Raw genomic sequence first — 17941 nt, 5'->3', positions numbered from 1 at the left:
GCAATGCACATCCCATCTGCAAGGGACACTGAGGTTCCCTTCAACTCTACCTCAAGTCAAGTCAAGGGAGGTTCTGTAAACCAGTGCAGGCATAACTTCCACGGAGTGAAAGGTGTTGAGGGCTGGACGAACAGGCATCACTCACTATGGCAACAAGAGCGGATGCGCATCCCACCTGTTACTAGGGAGGCCCTTCTAGGGTCCTCAAGGTTTTTGTGAAAGTATCTGTGGTTTTGTCCCATGTGACATTTATCACTGCAACTGAGATTCATCTTGTCTATAATAGCTTGTTTCTCATATTAGCCACAGCCAACATTTCACAGCTTACCAAGAAATTTGCATTTAAATGTGAGGTTTTGCAGGTTGGAATGGTACACTGGAAAAATTACCTGCAGAAAACAGGATAAACAGTGCAGCTGCAGTCACAGCACTCACTACGGTTGGCATGAGTGGGTGAGGGTTGAATCAACTACACCCTTCCTGCAGAAAAAGGTCTATTCCGAGAAATAAGTGGAAGCTGTTAAGCAAGAAAAATTTTCGATGTCAGGGACGAGCAGATTAAATTAAAAAGACAGGAATGGGCCGGGCACGGTGGCTTATATCTATAATCCCCAGCACTGTGGGAGGCCAAGGAGGCAGATCACTTGAGGTCAGGAGTTGAGACCAGCCCCGCAAACATGGTGAAACCCCGTCTGTGCCAAAAGTACAAAAACTGGCAGGTCATAGTGGTGAGCATTTGTAATCCCAGCTACTAGTGACACGGAGGTGGGAGAATTTCTGGAACCTGGGAGGCAGAGGATGCAATGAGTGGAGATCATCCCACTCTACTCCAGCCTGGGTGACAGAGCCAGGCTCCATCTCAAAAATGAATACATAAATAAATAAAAAGAGGATCACTTGAGCCCAAGAGAGCTAGGTTGGAAGTGCCACCGCACTCCAGCCTGGGCAACGGAGACCCTGTCTTAGAAAAACACAAAACCAAAACATAACCCCGCTATCATCCAAGTCTGATGATAAGCATGCTCTGCAAATGTATTACCAAGATCAGCATCAACTTCAACACTGCTTTTCTCAAACCGTAACCCTCAAAAGGGAAGCGCTTTCTCTTCTTTCTGACAACAGAAAGCGCTTTCCTTTGTAGACTCATAGCTTGAGATCTTCTTGCTCCAGCACTCTGGGTTTCGTGTTGGAATTTTCTTTGACCAGGTTTAAATGGACAGAAAAATAAAGATGCATTTAGTGGCCCTGTTTGCATGTTTTCTGGAATCCAGAATAAAACGCCTGAAAAGGACCATCTCCAGTTCCTTGCTTCAAAGGCTCAGCAGGTTAGCCTTGTTCATCAAGGGACAATCCTCCCGAGTTTTGTTCTCAAACAGAAAAAGCAATGCCTACTAGACATACCTTATACTTAACCAAGAGAATTGGACTGGATTTCCAGAGAACAGCAAATGGATTCTGAGCCAAGTGTTCATTTGAGTTCCAGTGCGGAGACACACAGTCCCATTGGAAACATCCAAAATGTGATCTAAGATGTTGAACTATATACATTGTCGCACACACAAACATCCTCCAGGATAGACCACAGGCTAGGTGGTAAAAGCTCCTCAATAAAATTTGAACAGGAATACACAAGTACCAGTTGGGTGTGGTGGCTCATACCTCTAATCCCAGCACATCAGGAGGCCAAGGCAGGAGATTCACTTGAGCTCAGGAGCTCAAGACCAGCGTGTACAACACGGTGAAACCCTGTCTGTAAAAAAATACAAATGTAGGCCAGGTGTGGTGGTACATGCCTGTAGACACTAATTCAGGAGGCTGGGGTGGGAGGCGAAGGTTGCAGTGAGCCAAGACTGAAACACTGCACTCCAACCTGGGCGACTGAGCCAGATCTTGTTGCAAAAAAAAATTTAAAAGAACACACAAGCAAAAACCACCCCAAAGTGATATCAGTCATCTCTGTGTGTAGAAGAGTATTTTTTGTGTATATAATTATATATATGGCTATATGATGAAATATACATCATATATAATATATATATACACACAAACACACCCATATATATATTTTTTTTTTTGAGACAGAGTCTCTCTCTCTATATAAATATATATGTATATATATATTTTTTTTTTGAGACAGTCTTATTCTCTCGCCCAGGCTGGAGTGTGGTGGCGTGATCTTGGCTCACTGCAACCTCCATCTGTCCGTTCAAGTGATTCTCCTCCCTCAACTTCCCCAGCAGATGGGAATACAGGCGTGCGCCACCATAGCTGGCTAATTTTTTGTATTTTTAGTAGAGACAGGGTTTCACCATGTTGGTCAGGCTGGTCTCAAACTCCTGACCTCAAGTGATCCACTCGCCTCAACCTGCCAAAGTGTTGATATTGCAGGCATGAGCCACCGCTCATGTCGTATACACACAAAAACTGCTCATATACTCATGCGCCTGGCTGTACATCATTTATTTTCCAGACCCTATCTCAAAAAAAAAGAAAGTTCCATATACTGTATGCTCACATAAAGAATTACTCCTACACATAAATGTTTGCTCCACACATAAGAAATGAATGGAGTGACAGAGATCACCATGGCCCCTGTGCAGAGGTGATGCCCAAATTCATGATGGGTCTCATATTGAAAATTAAGATCAAAGGCCGGGTGCAGTGGTTCATGACTGTAAACCCAGCACTTTGGGAGGCCGAGGCAGGTGGATTACGAGGTCAGGAGATGGAGACCATCCTGGTCAACACGGTGAAACCCCATCTCTGCTAAAAATACAAAAATTAGCCGGGCGTGGTGGCATGGGCCTGTACTCCCAGCAACACAGGAGACTGAGATGGGAGAACCACTTCAACCCGGGAAGGGGAGATTGTAGTGAGCAGAGATCGTGACCCTGCAAAGAGGACCACCTGAGCCCAAGAGAGCTAGGTTGGAAGTGCCACTGCTCTCCAGCCTGGGCAAAAGAGACCCCGTCTTAGAAAACAAACAAACCAGGAACAAAAGCCCACCCTCATCCAAGTCTGATGATAAGCACGCTCTGCAAATGTATTGCCGAGATCAGCATGAACGTTAACGTTGCTTTTCTCAAACTGTAATCCTCTAAAAAGATGCACTTTCTTTTCTTTCAGACAACAGAAAGCGCTTCCCTCTAGAGGGTCACAGGCTGAGATCTTCTTGCTCCAGCACCATTGATTTTTTGTTGGAATTTTCCTTGACCAGGTTAAAATGGACACAAAAATAAAGATGCATTTATTGGCCCTGTTTGCATGATTTCTGGAATCCAGAACATAAACCCCTATCAGGGCCATCTCCAGTTCCTTGTTTCAAAAAGCAATGCCGACTATACATACCTTATATTTAACCATGAGAATTGGGCTGGATTCTAGAGAACAGCAATAGATTTTGAGCTAAGTGTTCACTCGAGTTCCAGTACAGTGACACACAGTCCCGACGGGGGCATCCAAAATGGAATCTACGATGTTGAAGAATATGCATTGTCACACACACAAACACCCTCCAGGAGAGACCACAGGCCAGGCTGTAAAAGCTCCTCAATAAAATGAGCAGAAACACACAGGTACAGGTGAGGTGTGGTGGCTCACACCTCTAAACCCAGCCCTTTAGGAGGCTGAGGCAGGAGTATCACTTGAGTTCAAGAGTTTGAGACCAGCCTGGGCAACATGGTGATACCTCATGTGTAGAGAAAACAGAAAAGTTAGCCGGGCGTGGTGGTGTGCGCCTGTAGACAGCTACTCAAGAGGCTGAAGTGGCAGGTGGAGGTTGCAATAAGCTGAGATGGCACCACTGCACTCTAGCCTGGGTGACAGACCCAGACCTTATCTAAAAAAAAAACAAAAACATACACACACAAACAAAAAATTACCCAAAGTGATACGAGAGTATTCTCTGTGTATAGAAGAGTGTTTTGTGTGTATATGACTATGTTACATGTATAATAAGAATATGATAAAATATATATTTTTGAGACCGTACATCAATAAAAATTAAGTTCCATATACTATGTGCTCACATGAAAAATAATTCCTACACATATGTGCTTGCATTGGCAGCACACATTAAAAAAAATTGGAGGCTAGGCTGGGTGGCTTACACCTATAATCTCAGCATTTTGGGAGGCTGAGGCAGGCGGATCACCTGAGGTCAGGAGTTGGAGACTAACCTGGCCATCATGATGAAACTGCATCTCTGCTAAAAATGCAAATATTAGCCAGGCGTCGTGGCACGTGCACCTGTAATCCCATCTACTTGGGAGGAGAGGTTGCAGTGAGCAGATAACATGCCACTGCGCTCAAGCCTGGGCCAGAGACAGAGACTCTGTTTCAAGAAAAAAAAAAAAAGCAAGCACGGGACCACTTGAGCCCAAGAGATCTAGGTTGGAAGCGCCACCGCACTCCAGCCTGGGCAACAGAGACCCCATGATGCAAAACAACTAAACAAAAACAGAACCCCAACATCATGCAAGTCTGATGATAAGCACGCTCTGCAAATGTGTTACCAAGATCAGCATCAACTTCAACGTGGTTTTTCTCAAACAGTAACGCTCCAAAAGAAGGCACTCTGCTTTCAGACAACAGAAAGTGCTTTCTTTTGGAGAATGACTGCATGAGATCTTCTCGCTCCAAAAGTCTGGGTTTTTTGACGGAATTTTCCTCACCTGGTTAAAATGGACACAAAAATAAAGATACATTTATTGACTCTCTCTGCATGTTTTCTGGAATCCAGAATATAAACCCCTAAAAGGACCATCTCCAGTTCCTTGCTTCAAAGGCTCAGCAGGTTAGCCTTGTTCATCAAGAGACAATCCTCCTGAGTTCTGTCCCCAAAGAGAAAAAGCAATGCCTACCACACATACCTTATATTTAACCATGAGAATTGGGCTGGATTTCTAGAGAACAGCAATGGATTTGAAGCCAAGTGTTCACATAAGTCCCAGTACAGGGACACACAGTCCCCATGCAAGCATCCAAAATGGAATCTAAGATGATGTTTAAGAATATACACTGTTGTACACACATTCTCCAGGATAGAACACAGGCTAGGCCATAAAAGCTCCTCAATAAATTTTTTTTTTTTTTTTGAAACAAGTCTCACTTTGTTGCCCAGGCTGTAGTGCAGGGCCGTGATCTCAGCTCACTGCAAGCTCTGCCTCCAGGTTTCCAGCAATTCTCCTGTCTCAGCCTCTGGGGTACCTGGGATTACAGGCACGTGCCACGATGCCCACCTAATTTTGCATTTTTAAAATTTTTTTTTCTTTTTTTTCTTTTCTTTTTGTGGAGAACAGGGTCTCACTGTATTGCCCAGGCAGGTCTCAAACTCCTGGGCTCAAGCTATCCTCCTGCCTCTGCCTCCCTAAGAGCTGGGATTACAGGCGTGAGCCACCGCGCCCGGCTAATTTTTGTACTTTTAGTAGAAATGAGGTTTCACCATCTTGGCCAGGCTGGTCTCAAACTCCTGACTCCAGGTGATTAGCCTGCTTTGGTCTCCAAGAGTGCTGAGACGACATGCCTGAGCTACCGTGCCTGGCCTGCAGACAGCTATTCCAGAGGCTGCGGTGGGGCATGGGCCAAGACTGCAACACTGCACTGCAGCCTGGGTGACAGAGCCAGACCTTGTCTCATAACACACACACACACACACACACACACACACACACACACACACGAAGGAAAAAAAACCCAAAGTGATACAAGAGTATTCTGTGTGTGTAGAAGAGTGTTTTGTGTTAATCATTATATTATCTATAGAAGATGATATGATAAAATGTGTATCATATATAAGACACTGCCCCCAGAAAAGGAAGTTCTATATACTGAATGCTCACACGAAGAGTAATTTCTCCACCTAAGTGCCTTCTCTGGCAGCATATGTTAAAAAAAAAAAAAAATGACAGCGATTCCCACGTCCCCTGCACAAAGTGACACCCAAATTCATGATGGTCCCATATTTAAAATTAGAAAAAACAAATGCCGACACCCACAGCCAATCATTTCTACTTCAAGTACATCTCAAGTATACTGTTAATCTGAAATACAAATTTAACCAGGTTTCCCTGCTCTGGGAAGCCCCCTTTGGTAATTCAGATAAGGGTCTCCTTTGGAAGGTAATGGGTAAGGAACATGGAGATGTCAGCCAAGGGAAGTGACTCTCAGGGATTTCTATGGATTATGCAGACGCCCAGCCAGATCCCAAACTTCCCCAAAAGATCCCAAGTCCAGGCAGGAAGGACCACTGGGCTCCAGAAACCAAATGAAGTGGCCCTGGGCAGGAGTCTCTGTTGTCAGATTCCATGACTAAGACAGCCAGGGAGCAGAGTGAAAATCCCAGGGGCTCTCTCTCCCAGAAGACACCTGCTCCATCCAGATCAAACCCAAAATGTCCCCAGAGAATGATGCCTGCTTCTCCTTTCCCCTCGGCTCATCCTGCCTGCATCGGTGCAGTGCCCTGACGTTCCCAGCCCAGAGGCCTTCACTCCTTCCAGTGCCCCAGGAGGGTCACCTTGCAGTTCTCAGGGAGGAAGATGGGGTCTTCCACCCTTGTGAGCTTCCCAGACATCAGGGTCTGCCCGCCCCACTCCATTCCCAAAGGATGTTCCGCCCAGTTCTCCCAGCCTCCTGCTTCCCTCCAGGGACCACCCTTCAGTGGTAAGATTCACATTGCAGACAACCAGGACCAACCCATTATCCTCAACTGGACACCCATACAAGATTGGTCTACGTGACCGGCCTACAAGAGGCAGATCCAGAGCTAGAGAGATGGGGAGTCGTTGCCACGGTCTGGGTGGAAGAGGTGGGTGGGTACTGACTGCAAATGAGTATAAGCCTCTTCGGGGTGATGAAAATCTTCCAAAACTAGAGTGGTGGTGGCTGCAAACAAGCTAAAATCCACATCTCAGAGTTCATCTCAAAAGATTAGTTTCTCGGCCGGGCGCGGTGGCTCACGCCTATAATCCCAGCACTTTGGGAGGCCGAGGCGGGCGGATCACGAGGTTAGAAGATCGAGACCATCCTGGCTAACACGGTGAAACCCCGTCTCTACTGAAAATGCAAAAAATACAAAAATTAGATGGGCGTGGTTGCACGCACCTGTGATCCCAGCTACTCAGGAGGCTGAGGTTTCAGTGAGCCAAGATAGTGCCACTGCATTGCTGAGACACACAGTGAGACTCCCTGTCAAACAAACAAACAAACAAACAAAAACGACCGGAGCCCAAGAAATGTAGGTTGAAGTGTCACCGCACTCCAGCCTGGGCAACAGGGACCTTGTCTTGGAATACAACAAAACAAAAGCAAAACCCCACCATCATCCAAGTCTGATGATAAGCACGCTCTGCAAATATTTTACCAAGATCAGCATCAACTTCAACATTGCTTTTCCCAAACGGTAACCCTCTAAAAGGAAGCACTTGCTTTTCTTTCTGACCACAGAAAGCGCTTCCCTTTAGAGGGTCACAGCCTGAGATCCTCTTGCTCCAGCACCGTGGATTTTTTGTGGGAATCTTCCTTGACCAGGTTTAAATGGACACAAAAATAAAGATGCATTTATTGGGGCCGGGCGCAGTGGCTCATGCCTGTAATCCCAGCACTTTGGGAGGCCGAGGCGGGCAGATCACGAGGTCAGGAGATCAAGACCATCCTGGCTAACAGGGTGAAACCCCGCCTCTACTAAAAATACAAAAAATTAGCCTAGCGTGGTGGTGGGCACCTGTAGCCCCAGCTACTTGGAAAGCTGAGGCAGGAGAATGGCGTGAACCCAGGAGGCTGAGCTTGCAGTGAGCCAAGATTGTGCCACTGCACTCCAGCCTGGGTGACAGAACGAGACTCCATCTCAAAAACAAAACAAAACAAAACAAAAAGATGCATTTATTGGCCCTGTTTGCATGTTTTCTGGAATCCAGAACATAAACCCCTAAAAGGACCATCTCCAGTCCTTTGCTTCAAAGAATCAGCAGGTTAGCCTTGTTCATCAAGGGGCAATCCTCCTGAGTTCTGTCCCCAAAGAGAAAAAGCAATGCCTACCACATATACCTTATATTTAACCATGAGAATTGAGCTGGATTTCTAGAGAACAGCAATGGATTTTGAGCCAAGTGTTCACTCGAGTTCCAGCACAGGGACACACAGTCCCGATGGGAGCATCCAAAATGGAATCTACTATGTTCAAGAATATACACTGTCTCACACACAAACATCCTGCAGGATAGACCACAGGGTATGCTGTATAAGCTCCTCAATAAATACAGAAATACACAAGTATGGGTGGGGCGTGGTGGCTCACACCAATAAACCCAGCACTTAAAGAGGGCAAGGCAGGAGGATCACTTGAGCTCAGGAGTTCGAGCTCAACCAGCATGGGTAATATGGTGAAACCTTATGCACAAAAAATAGAAAAGTTAGCTGGGTGTGGTGGTGCGCACCTGTAGACAAGTACTCAGGAGGCTGAGGTGGCAGGTGGAGGTTGCAGTAAGTCGACATGGCACCACTGCACTCCAGCCTGGGTGATAAAGCTAGACCTTGTCTCAAAACAAAACAAACAAACAAACAAGAAAAACACAGAAAGAAACAAGTAAATAAATACCCAAAGTGATACAAGAGTATTCTCCGTGTGTAGAACAGGGTTTGGTGTACATATGACTACATTATATACATGATAAGACTATATGATTAAATATACATCATATATTGTTGAGACCCTGTCTATGAAAAAAAAAAAAAAGAATATACTGTTTGCTCACATTAAAAATAACTCCTCACCGGGTGCGGTGGCTCATGCCTGTAATCCCAGCAGTTTGGGAGGCCGAGGCAGGTGGATTAGTTGAGGTCAGGAGTTTGAGACCAGCCGGACCAACATGGCAAAACCCCGATTCTACCAAAAGGACAAAAATTAGCCGGGGTGGCGGCATGCACCTGAAATCCCAGCTACTCAGGAGGCTGAGGCAGGAGAATCGCTTGAACCCGGAAGGCGTAGGTTGCAGTGAGCCGAGATCATGCCACTGCACTCCAGCCTGGGCGACAAGAATGAGACTCCATCTCAAACAAACAAACAAACAAACAAACAAAATTCCTACACACAAGTGCTTGCTTTGGCAGCACAAAAAAATACAAATAATAATTAAAAAAAAAAAAAAAAACACCCTGCAGTCCGAGCAGGGTGGCTCATGCCTGTAATCCCACCACTTTGGAAAGCAGAGGCGGGCAGATCACCTGAGGTCAGGAGTTCAAGACTAACCTGGCCAATGTGGTGAAACTCCATCTCTGCTAAAAATACAAAAATTAGCCAGGCGTGGTGGCACGTGCCTATAATACCAGCTACTTGGGAGGCCGAGGTTGCAGTGAGCAGAGAATGTGTCACTGCCTGCCCGCCTGGCCCACATAGTGAGACTCTGTCTCAAGAACAAAAACAACAAAAAAAGTAGGGGGGACCAACTAGCCTAAGAGGTCTAGGTTGGAAGCGCCACCGCACTCCTGCCCGGGCAACAGAAACCCTGTGTTGCAAAAAAACTAAACAAAAACAGAACCCCAACATCATGCAAGTCTGATGATAAGCACGCTCTGCAAATGCGTTACCAAGATCAGCATCAACTTCAACGTGGTTTTTCTCAAACAGTAACACTCTAAAAGGAGGCACTTTGTTTTCTTTCAAACAGAAAGTGCTCCCTTTTGGAGAATGACTGCATGAGATCTTCTCGCTCCAAAACTCTGGGTTTTTGTTGGAATTTTCCTTACCAGGTTAAAATGGACACAAAAATAAAGATGCATTCATTGTCCCTGTTTGCATGTTTTCTGGAATCCAGAACATAAACCCCTAAAAGGACCATCTCCAGTTCCTTGCTTCAAAGGCTCAGCAGGTTAGCCTTGTTCACGAAGGGGCAACCCTCCTGAGTATTGTCTCCAAAGAGAAAAAGCAAAGCCTACCACACATACCTTATATTTAACCAAGAGAATTGGGCTGGATTTCTAGAGAACAGCAATGGATTTTGAGCCATGTGTTCACTTGAGTTCCAGCACAGGGACACACAGTCCCGATGGGAGCAACCAAAATGGAATCTAAGATGATATTTAAGAATATACGTTGTGGGCCAGGCACAGTGGCTCATGCCTGTAATCCCAGCACTTTGCGAGGCCGAGGCAGGTGGATCACCTAAGGTCAGGAGTTCAAGACTAATCTGGCCATCATGATGAAACTCCGTCTCTGCTAAAAATACAAAAATTAGCCAGGCGTGGTGGCATGTGCCTGTAATACCAGCTACTCGGGAGGCAGAGGTTGCAGTGAGCAGAGAACATACCACTGCACTCCAGCCTGGGCCACAGAGAGAGACTGTCTCAAGAGAAAAAAAAGGGGGAGGGGGTGGGGGCAGGGACCAACTGAGCCCAAGAGGTCTAGGTTGGAAGTGTCACCGCACTCCAGCCTGGGCAAGAGACCCTGTGTTGCAAAAAAACTAAACAAAAACAGAACCCCAACATCATGCAAGTCTGATGATAAGCACGCTCTGCAAATGTGTTACCAAGATCAGCATCAACTTCAACGTGGTTTTTCTCAAACAGTAACGCTCCAAAAGAAGGCACTCTGCTTTCAGACAACAGAAAGTGCTTTCTTTTGGAGAATGACTGCATGAGATCTTCTCACTCCAAAACTCTGGGTTTTTTGTTGGAATTTACCTTACCAGATTAAAATGAACACAAAAATAAAGATGCATTCATTGGCCAGGCGCGGTGGCTCACGCCTGGAATCCCAACACTTTGGGAGGCTGGTCAAGAGACCACGACCATCCTGGCCAACATGGTGAAACTCCGTCTCTACTAAAAATACAACCATTTGCCGCCTGTGGTGGCATGTACCTGTAGTCCCAGCTACTCGGGAGGCTGAGGCAGGGGAATTACTTGAACCAGGAGGCAGAAGTTGCAGTGAGCCGAGATCGTGCCACTGCACTCCAGACTGGCAAGAGTAAGACTCCATCTCAAAAAAAAATAAAAATAAAAATAAAAAAGGTGCATTCATTGCCCCTGTTTGCATGTTTTATGGAATCCAGAACATAAACCCCTGAAAGGACCATCTCCAGTTCCTTGCTTCAAAGGCTTAGCAGGTTAGCCTTGTTCATCAAGGGGCAATCCTCCTGAGTTTTGTCCCCAAAGAGAAAAAGCAATGCCTACCACACATACCTTATCTTTAACCAAGAGAATTGGGCTGGATTTCTAAGGATGTTGAGCCAGTGTTCACTTGAGTTCCAGCACAGAAACACACAGTCCTGATGGGAACATCCAAAATGGAATCTAAGATAATGTTTAAGAATATACATTGTTGTACACACAAATACCCTCCAGGACAGACCACAGGCTAGGCCGTAAAAGCTCCTCAGTAAGATTTGACAGAGCTGGGGGGAAAAAAAGAATGTACATTGTCACACACACGAACATTCTTCAGGATAGACCACAGGCTAGGCTGTAAAACCTCAATAATTTTTTTTCTTGGAGACTAAGTTAGGAAAAACAAATGCCCACACCTAAACAACCAATCATTTCTAGTTCAAGTACATCTCAAGTATACTGTTGACCTGAAATAGAAAGTTAACCGGGTTTCCCTGCTCTGGGAAGCCCCCTTTGGTAATTCAGTTAAGGGTCTCCTTTGGAAGGTAATGGGTAGGAACATGGAGATGTCAGCCAAGGGAAGTGACTCTCAGGGATTTCTATGGATTATGCAGATGCCCTGCCAGATCCCAAACTTCCCCAAAAGATCCTAAGTCCAGGCAGGAAGGACCACTGGGGTCCAGAAACCAAATGAAGTGGCCCTGGGCAGGAGTCTCTGTTGTCAGATTCCATGACTAAGACAGCCAGGGAGCAGAGTGAAAATCCCAGGGGCTCTCTCTCCAGGAGACACCTGCTCCATCCAGATCAAACCCAAAATGTCCCCAGCCAGTGATGCCTGGCTCTCCTTTCCCCTCGGCTCATCCTGCCTGCATCGGTGCAGTGCCCTGACGTTCCCAGTCCAGAGGGTGGAGGTTGCAGTGAGGGGAGATCACAGACTGTCAGAGCCTTCCTCTCTCCTTGCCTATGCATGGGTTAATATTCACCTGAAGTCCCAGCTACTAGGGTACGCATAGGAGCACAGCCCAGTTTAGTCTGGGTGACACAGTGAGACCCCCATCTCTAAAATTTAAAAATTAAATCAAATGTGCAATTTTTTGACCTGTTCATGCACACTACATTTCGGCTGCATTTACCCAATAAAAACTCAGAGCCCATGCACTCCACCTCCGTGCGCTTGCTAAGCAGTGCACATCCCATCAGCAAGGGACACTGAGGTCCCCTCCAACTCTACCTCAACCCAAGAGGTGTTCTATAAAGCAGTGCAGGCAGAACTTCCATGGAGTAAGAGGTGTTAAGGGCTGGACGAACAGGCATCGCTCACTGTGGCAACAACAAGAGCTGCTGAACATCCCACCTGTTACTAGAGAGACCCTTCTAGGGTTCTAAAGGACCCTATTTTTGCGAAAATATCTGTGGTTTTGTCTCATGTGACATTTGTCACTGTGATTGAGATGGATTTTCTTTACAATAGTTTATATTAGGCACAGCAAACATTTTAGATCTTGCCAAGCAACCTGTATTCAGAGGCGAGGTTTTGCCTGTTGGAATGGTACATTGGAACCGCTACCCACAGGAAACAGGATAAATGGTCCAGCTGTAGTCAAAAGAACTCACTAGGGTTGTTGGCATTAGTGGTTGAGGGTTGAATCAACTATAAGCTTCTCACAGAGGAAGCAGGTCTATTCTGAGAAATGATGGTAAGCTGTTAGGAAGGAAAAATTTTCAGTGTCAGGGACAAGTAGATTAAAATAAAAAGACAAATGAACAGGAAAAAAAAAATCCCCATTGGGGACTGCAGAACAAGACTGGACAGGCCGGGCGTGGTGGCTCTCGTCTGTAATCCCGGCACTTTGGGAGGCTGAGGTGGGTGGATCACGGAGGTCAGGAGTTCGAGACCAGCCTGACCGACATGGTGAAACCCCATCTCTAGTAAAAACACAAAAATTAGCTGGTCATGGTGGCAGGCGCCTGTCATTCTAGCTACTTGGGAGGCTGAGGTGAGAGAACTCCTTGAACTCAGGAGGCAGAGGTTGCAGTGAGCTGAGATTGCACCATTGCACTCTAGCCTGAGTGACAAGAGCCAAGCTCTGTCTCAAAAAGACTGGATAGACTTGGAGGCTTATTTACTCTCTTAATGAAGGAAACATGGTTTGGATTCATTAAACTAAATTTATAGGAGGCCATTGTTTGACCAACACAAATGGTGTCTCTGGAACCAGGTGCCATGTAATGTATTTTTTTTTAAGAGATGGGATCTTGCTATGTTGGCCCAGGCTGGAGTGCAGTGGCTATTCAAAGGTGTCATTAGTGCACGGTATAGCATTGAAATCAAGAGACTCTCCCACCCCAGCCTCTGCAGTAGCTGGGGCTGTGTGTCCCACTATGCTTGATCATGTCAACTATCTTTAAAATGGGCACGGTGGCTCACACCTGTAGGATTGCTTGAGCTCAGGAGTTGAGACCATCCTGGCCAGGGTGAGGCCCCATCTCTACAAAAAATTGAAAAATCTACCAAATATGGCGGCACACCCCTATATTATAGTCCCAGCTACTCGGCAGGCTGAGGCATAGAGGACCAGTTCATCCCAGGAGTTCTAGGTTGGAAGGGCAACTGCATTCCAGCCTGGGTGGAGACCCTCATCTTGGAGTAAAAACAAAACCTCACATCACCCAAGTCTGATTATAAGTATACTCTGCAGGTGTGTTACAAACATCAGCATCAACCTCAAGGTTGCTTTTCTCAAACAGTAACCCTCAAAAAGGAAGCACTTTCTTTCCTTTCAGACAACAGAAACTGCTTCCATCTTGAGGGTCACAGCAGGAGACAGTCTTGCTCCAGCACTCTGGGTGTTTATTGGTTTCCTTGGATTCTAAAACCTTGACCAGGCTGAAATGAACACAAAAATAAAGATACAGCCAAACATTCATTTGCCCTGTTTGCATGTGTTCTGGAATCCCAAATTATAAGCCCATTAAATGAACATCTCGGGTTCCTTGCGTGAAAATCTCAACAGGTTGCCCTTATGAATCAAGAAGCAATCCTCCTGAGTTTTGTCCCCCGAAAGAAAAAGCAGCGACTACTATACATACCTTAAATTTAACCAAGAGAACTGGCTAGATTTATAGAGAACAGCAATGAATTTTGAGCCAAGTGTTCACCTAAGTTCCAGTACACCTAAGTTCCAGTCCTGATGGGAGGATCCAAAATGGAATCTGAGCTGTTTAAGAATATATATTGTCAGTCAGGCGTGGTGGTGCACACCTGTAATCCCAGCTACTCGGGAGGCCGAGGCAGGAGAATTGCTTGAACCCAGGAGGCAGAGGTTGCAGTGAGCCGAGATCATGCCATTGCACTCCAGCTTGGGCCACAAGAGTGAATCTCCGTCTCAAAAAAAAAAAAGTACAAAAATTAGGAATATACATGGTCAGCCTGGGCAGGGTAGCTCACGCCTGTAATCTCAGCACTTTGAGAGGCCGAGGCGGGACTCCTGAGGTCAGGAGTTCAAGACCACCTTGGTCAATATGGCGAAACCCCACCTCTACTAAAAATACAAAAATTAGCCGGGTGTGGTGGAGGGTAATCCCGGCTACTCGGGAGGCTGAGGCAGGAAAATCGCTTGAACCCGGGAGGCGGAGGTTGCAGTGAGCTGAGATTCATGCCACTGTACTCCAGCTAGGGCAACAAGAGTGAAACTCCATCTCAAAAAAAAGAAAAAAAAAAAAAAATATATATATATATATATATATACACATTGTCATGCACACAAATATTCTCCAGGATAGACCACAGGCTAGGCCATAAAACCTCAACAGAATTTAAAGAGAAATATACAAGTATGAGTAGGGAGTGGTGGCTGACACCTGTAATTCCAGCACTTTGGGAGGCTGAGGCAGGAGGATGCTTGAGCCCCGGAGGTTGAGAGGCTGCAGTGAGCTGTGAACATGACACTGCACACCAGTCTAGGCAAGAGTGAGACCGCATCTCTATTTGTATTAAATAAGCTATATTAAAAAAAAATTACACTCCTGAAGACCTTTCAGGCAGGGAAATTCTCAGGCAATTTACTCACTGTAGCTTCATGAAATTACCAAGACGCTTATGACTATTTCCGTTAAAATGAATTTTCTAAGTACATTTCCTGGATCAACAGCATCCAGAAGTAAACACAGGAATCTGATTTCATGCTTGTTTAAAAAACTATTAACATTGCCATCAACTTCCTTAGACGATTGCTCTCAAACTGTGAGCTTCAAGCTCTGGAGGTGCTTTTCATCCAGTTATAGAAAAACGCCCCCTGGCTTGAAATCACAGCCTGAGCTTCACTTCCCAAGGAGGGTTTGGGGCTTGAGCATTCTCAGGGTCCATCTGAAATCAGAGTGCAAACAAAAGGCATCCCAGAGCAGTCCACTCTCAATAATAAGCAGAATTAGGCAGAAGTAAGTAGAAGTTTCAAATAAGTTTGCAAACCAACTCAATGGACATCTACTGAACCCTCCCCAACATTCAAATGCACACATAGCATAGGACGGGACAGACGTTATGAGACACATAATACACGAGGCATACAATGGAGAAGGACCAAAGTACATTATGTTCAATCACCACCATAAAATGCAATTAGAAATCATTGTTGAAGACAGGCACGGTGGCTCACGCCTCTTATCCCAGCACTTTGCGAGGCGGAGGTGGGCAGACCACCTGAGGTCAGGAGTTCGAGACCAGCCTGGCCAACATGGTGAAACCCTGTCTCTACTAAAAATACAAAAATTAGCTGGGTGTAGTGGCGGGCGCCTGTAATCCCAGCTACTGGGGATGCTGAGGCAGGAGAATTGCTTGAACCCGGGAGGCAGAGGTCGCAGTGAGGCAAGATCACACTACTGCACTACAGCATGGGTGACAGAGAGAGACTCCATCTCAAAAAAAAAAAACTCTCAAATGGTCAGGCAGGATGGCTCAAGCCTGTAGTCCCAGCACTTTGGAAGGTGGAGGCAGGAGGATTGCTTGAGTCCAGGAGTTTGAGACCAACCTGGGCAACATAGTGAGACCCTGTCTAAATACATAGAGAGATAGGCAGGAAACATGGTGAAACTCCATTTCTACTAAAAATACAAAAAATTGGCCAGGGGCAGTGACTCAAGCCTGTAATCCCAGCACTTTGGGAGGCCGAGGCAGGCAGATCACGAGATCAGGAGACCGAGACCACCCTGGCTAACACAGTGAAACCCCGTCTCTACTAAAAATACAAAAAAATTAGCTGGGCGTGGTGGCGGGCACCTGTAGTCCCAGCTAGTCGGGAGGCTGAGGCAGGAGAATGGCATGAATCAAGGAGGCGGAGCTTGCAGTGATCCGAGATCACACCACTGCACTCCAGCCTGGGCAACAGAGCAAGACTCCATCTCAAAAAATAAAAAAAATAAAAAAATAAAAAAAAATTAGCCGGGCATGGTGGTGCACACCTGTAATCCCAGCTACTTGGGAGGCTGAGGCAGGAGAATCACTTGAACCCAGGAGGCAGAGGTTGCAGTGAGCCGAGATTGTGCCACTGCACTCCAGTTTAGGCAACAAGAGCGAAACCCTGTCTCAAAAAAAAAAAAAGAAAGAAAAAAAGAAAATGCTTAGACATTTACATTGAGACTAAGAAAAATGGCTCCCCAGATCCCAACCCAGGTCTATGGCACCAAACAAAATCTGTGGGTGGGCCCCAACAAGCTGCTTCAGCCAAGCTTCTGGGTTTTTGTCATAAATTTAAGAACCTCTGGGAATGGGGGCACGTGCATCTGTAATACCAGCTACTTGGAGGCTGAGGCAGGATGATCACTTGAGCCCAGGAGGTTGAGACTGCAGTGAGCTATAGTCGCACCATTGTACTCAAGGCTGGAAGACAGAACCCCTGGTCCATGATATCCTGGGTAGAAACCAGGACATCTACTAAATAGATGGACTGGTATGGGGGGCAGAAGGGAAAGGAAACCTTCACAGGAAGCACTTTTTTTTTTTTTTGAGTCTCGCTCTGTCACCCAGGTTGCAGTACAGTGCCATTATCTTGGCTCACTGCAACCTCTGCCTCCTGGGTTCAAGCGATGCTCCTGTCTGCACCTCCCAAGTAGCTGGGATTACAGGCACATGCCACCATGTCCAGCTAATTTTTGTATTTTTAGTAGAGACAGGGTTTCAAGTGCCTCGCCTGCCTCCCAAAGTGCTGGGACTACAGGCGCGAGCCACCCCACCCGCCTTAGGAAGCACATACTAAGGAGCCAAGTTAACTGCAATTCCTGGGGTCTCAGAACAATGTTGCATAACAGACATTTTTGCTTTGCATTAGAGGGATTTTTGCCTAGGAGAGCGCTTAGAAAATGGAATGCATTCAACGTGAGAAAGCTGATTGCAGTGGAGAGAAAAAGAAACAATAGAAAAGCAAAGGCCAGTCCACTGGGTGCATCCATGTGGTGCAATGCGATGGGGGACTGGGGATGGGTTATGATGAGGATTCACAATTGACATCCCCAAAACTGGGTGCACTTTCCTTTCAAACCACAGAAAATGCCCCTCAGTTTTGAGGACCTCAGTCTGAATGTCATGTCTGACTTCAAACTCTTCCTACGTGGTTAACTCACACTAGGGTTCGCTGTCCTCACACTGCAGATGGAGGACGTTCACACAGCACTCATGCAGAAGCTCCCAGCCAGATCTTGAAAAAAAATAACCTCAAAGAATCCTCAGGCTGCCCAGGGAGTTGCTAGGAAAAGGCAGACACACCAGCATTTACACAAATTCAGTTACATCACTAGTGGTAGGTTTCACATAAAAACCTTTGATTTATGAGAAGGCTATGCACATGTT

General features: G+C 46.1%; 1 long non-coding RNA gene and 9 other non-coding genes across 10 annotated transcripts in view, besides 1 other annotated feature; all 10 read right to left on the bottom strand.

The window, feature by feature from the left end:
* Positions 1-17941, bottom strand: part of LOC107985342 (uncharacterized) — a 46575-nt gene that overhangs the window by 4987 nt on the left and 23647 nt on the right. The window lies entirely within an intron of this gene.
* Positions 1069-1155, bottom strand: MIR1283-1 (microRNA 1283-1). Its single transcript, NR_031573.1, has one exon. It is a non-coding gene; the product is annotated as a microRNA 1283-1 (primary transcript).
* Positions 3081-3167, bottom strand: MIR519C (microRNA 519c). The gene has a single exon (NR_030188.1). It is a non-coding gene; the product is annotated as a microRNA 519c (primary transcript).
* MIR515-2 (microRNA 515-2) lies at positions 4545-4627 on the bottom strand. The gene has a single exon (NR_030187.1). It is a non-coding gene; the product is annotated as a microRNA 515-2 (primary transcript).
* On the bottom strand, positions 7391-7477 carry MIR520F (microRNA 520f). The gene has a single exon (NR_030186.1). It is a non-coding gene; the product is annotated as a microRNA 520f (primary transcript).
* On the bottom strand, positions 9613-9696 carry MIR519E (microRNA 519e). Its single transcript, NR_030185.1, has one exon. It is a non-coding gene; the product is annotated as a microRNA 519e (primary transcript).
* Positions 10551-10633, bottom strand: MIR515-1 (microRNA 515-1). Its single transcript, NR_030184.1, has one exon. It is a non-coding gene; the product is annotated as a microRNA 515-1 (primary transcript).
* Positions 11441-11941: an enhancer, noted in NCBI's record as "H3K27ac hESC enhancer chr19:54180949-54181449 (GRCh37/hg19 assembly coordinates)". NCBI's record gives its function as "activates a minimal SCP1, AML or CMV promoter by ChIP-STARR-seq in primed H9 embryonic stem cells {active_cell/tissue: H9 hESC(primed)}" and the evidence as "EXISTENCE:reporter gene assay evidence [ECO:0000049][PMID:30033119]".
* MIR520E (microRNA 520e) lies at positions 13839-13925 on the bottom strand. The gene has a single exon (NR_030183.1). It is a non-coding gene; the product is annotated as a microRNA 520e (primary transcript).
* MIR498 (microRNA 498) lies at positions 15316-15439 on the bottom strand. The gene has a single exon (NR_030182.1). It is a non-coding gene; the product is annotated as a microRNA 498 (primary transcript).
* MIR1323 (microRNA 1323) lies at positions 17596-17668 on the bottom strand. The gene has a single exon (NR_031568.1). It is a non-coding gene; the product is annotated as a microRNA 1323 (primary transcript).

The sequence above is a fragment of the Homo sapiens genome, chromosome 19 (genome assembly GCF_000001405.40).
Source record: "Homo sapiens chromosome 19, GRCh38.p14 Primary Assembly".
Lineage (NCBI taxonomy): Eukaryota > Metazoa > Chordata > Mammalia > Primates > Hominidae > Homo > Homo sapiens.
Note: the sequence above shows the minus strand (reverse complement) of the source record. Positions and strands in the feature narration are given on the sequence as shown.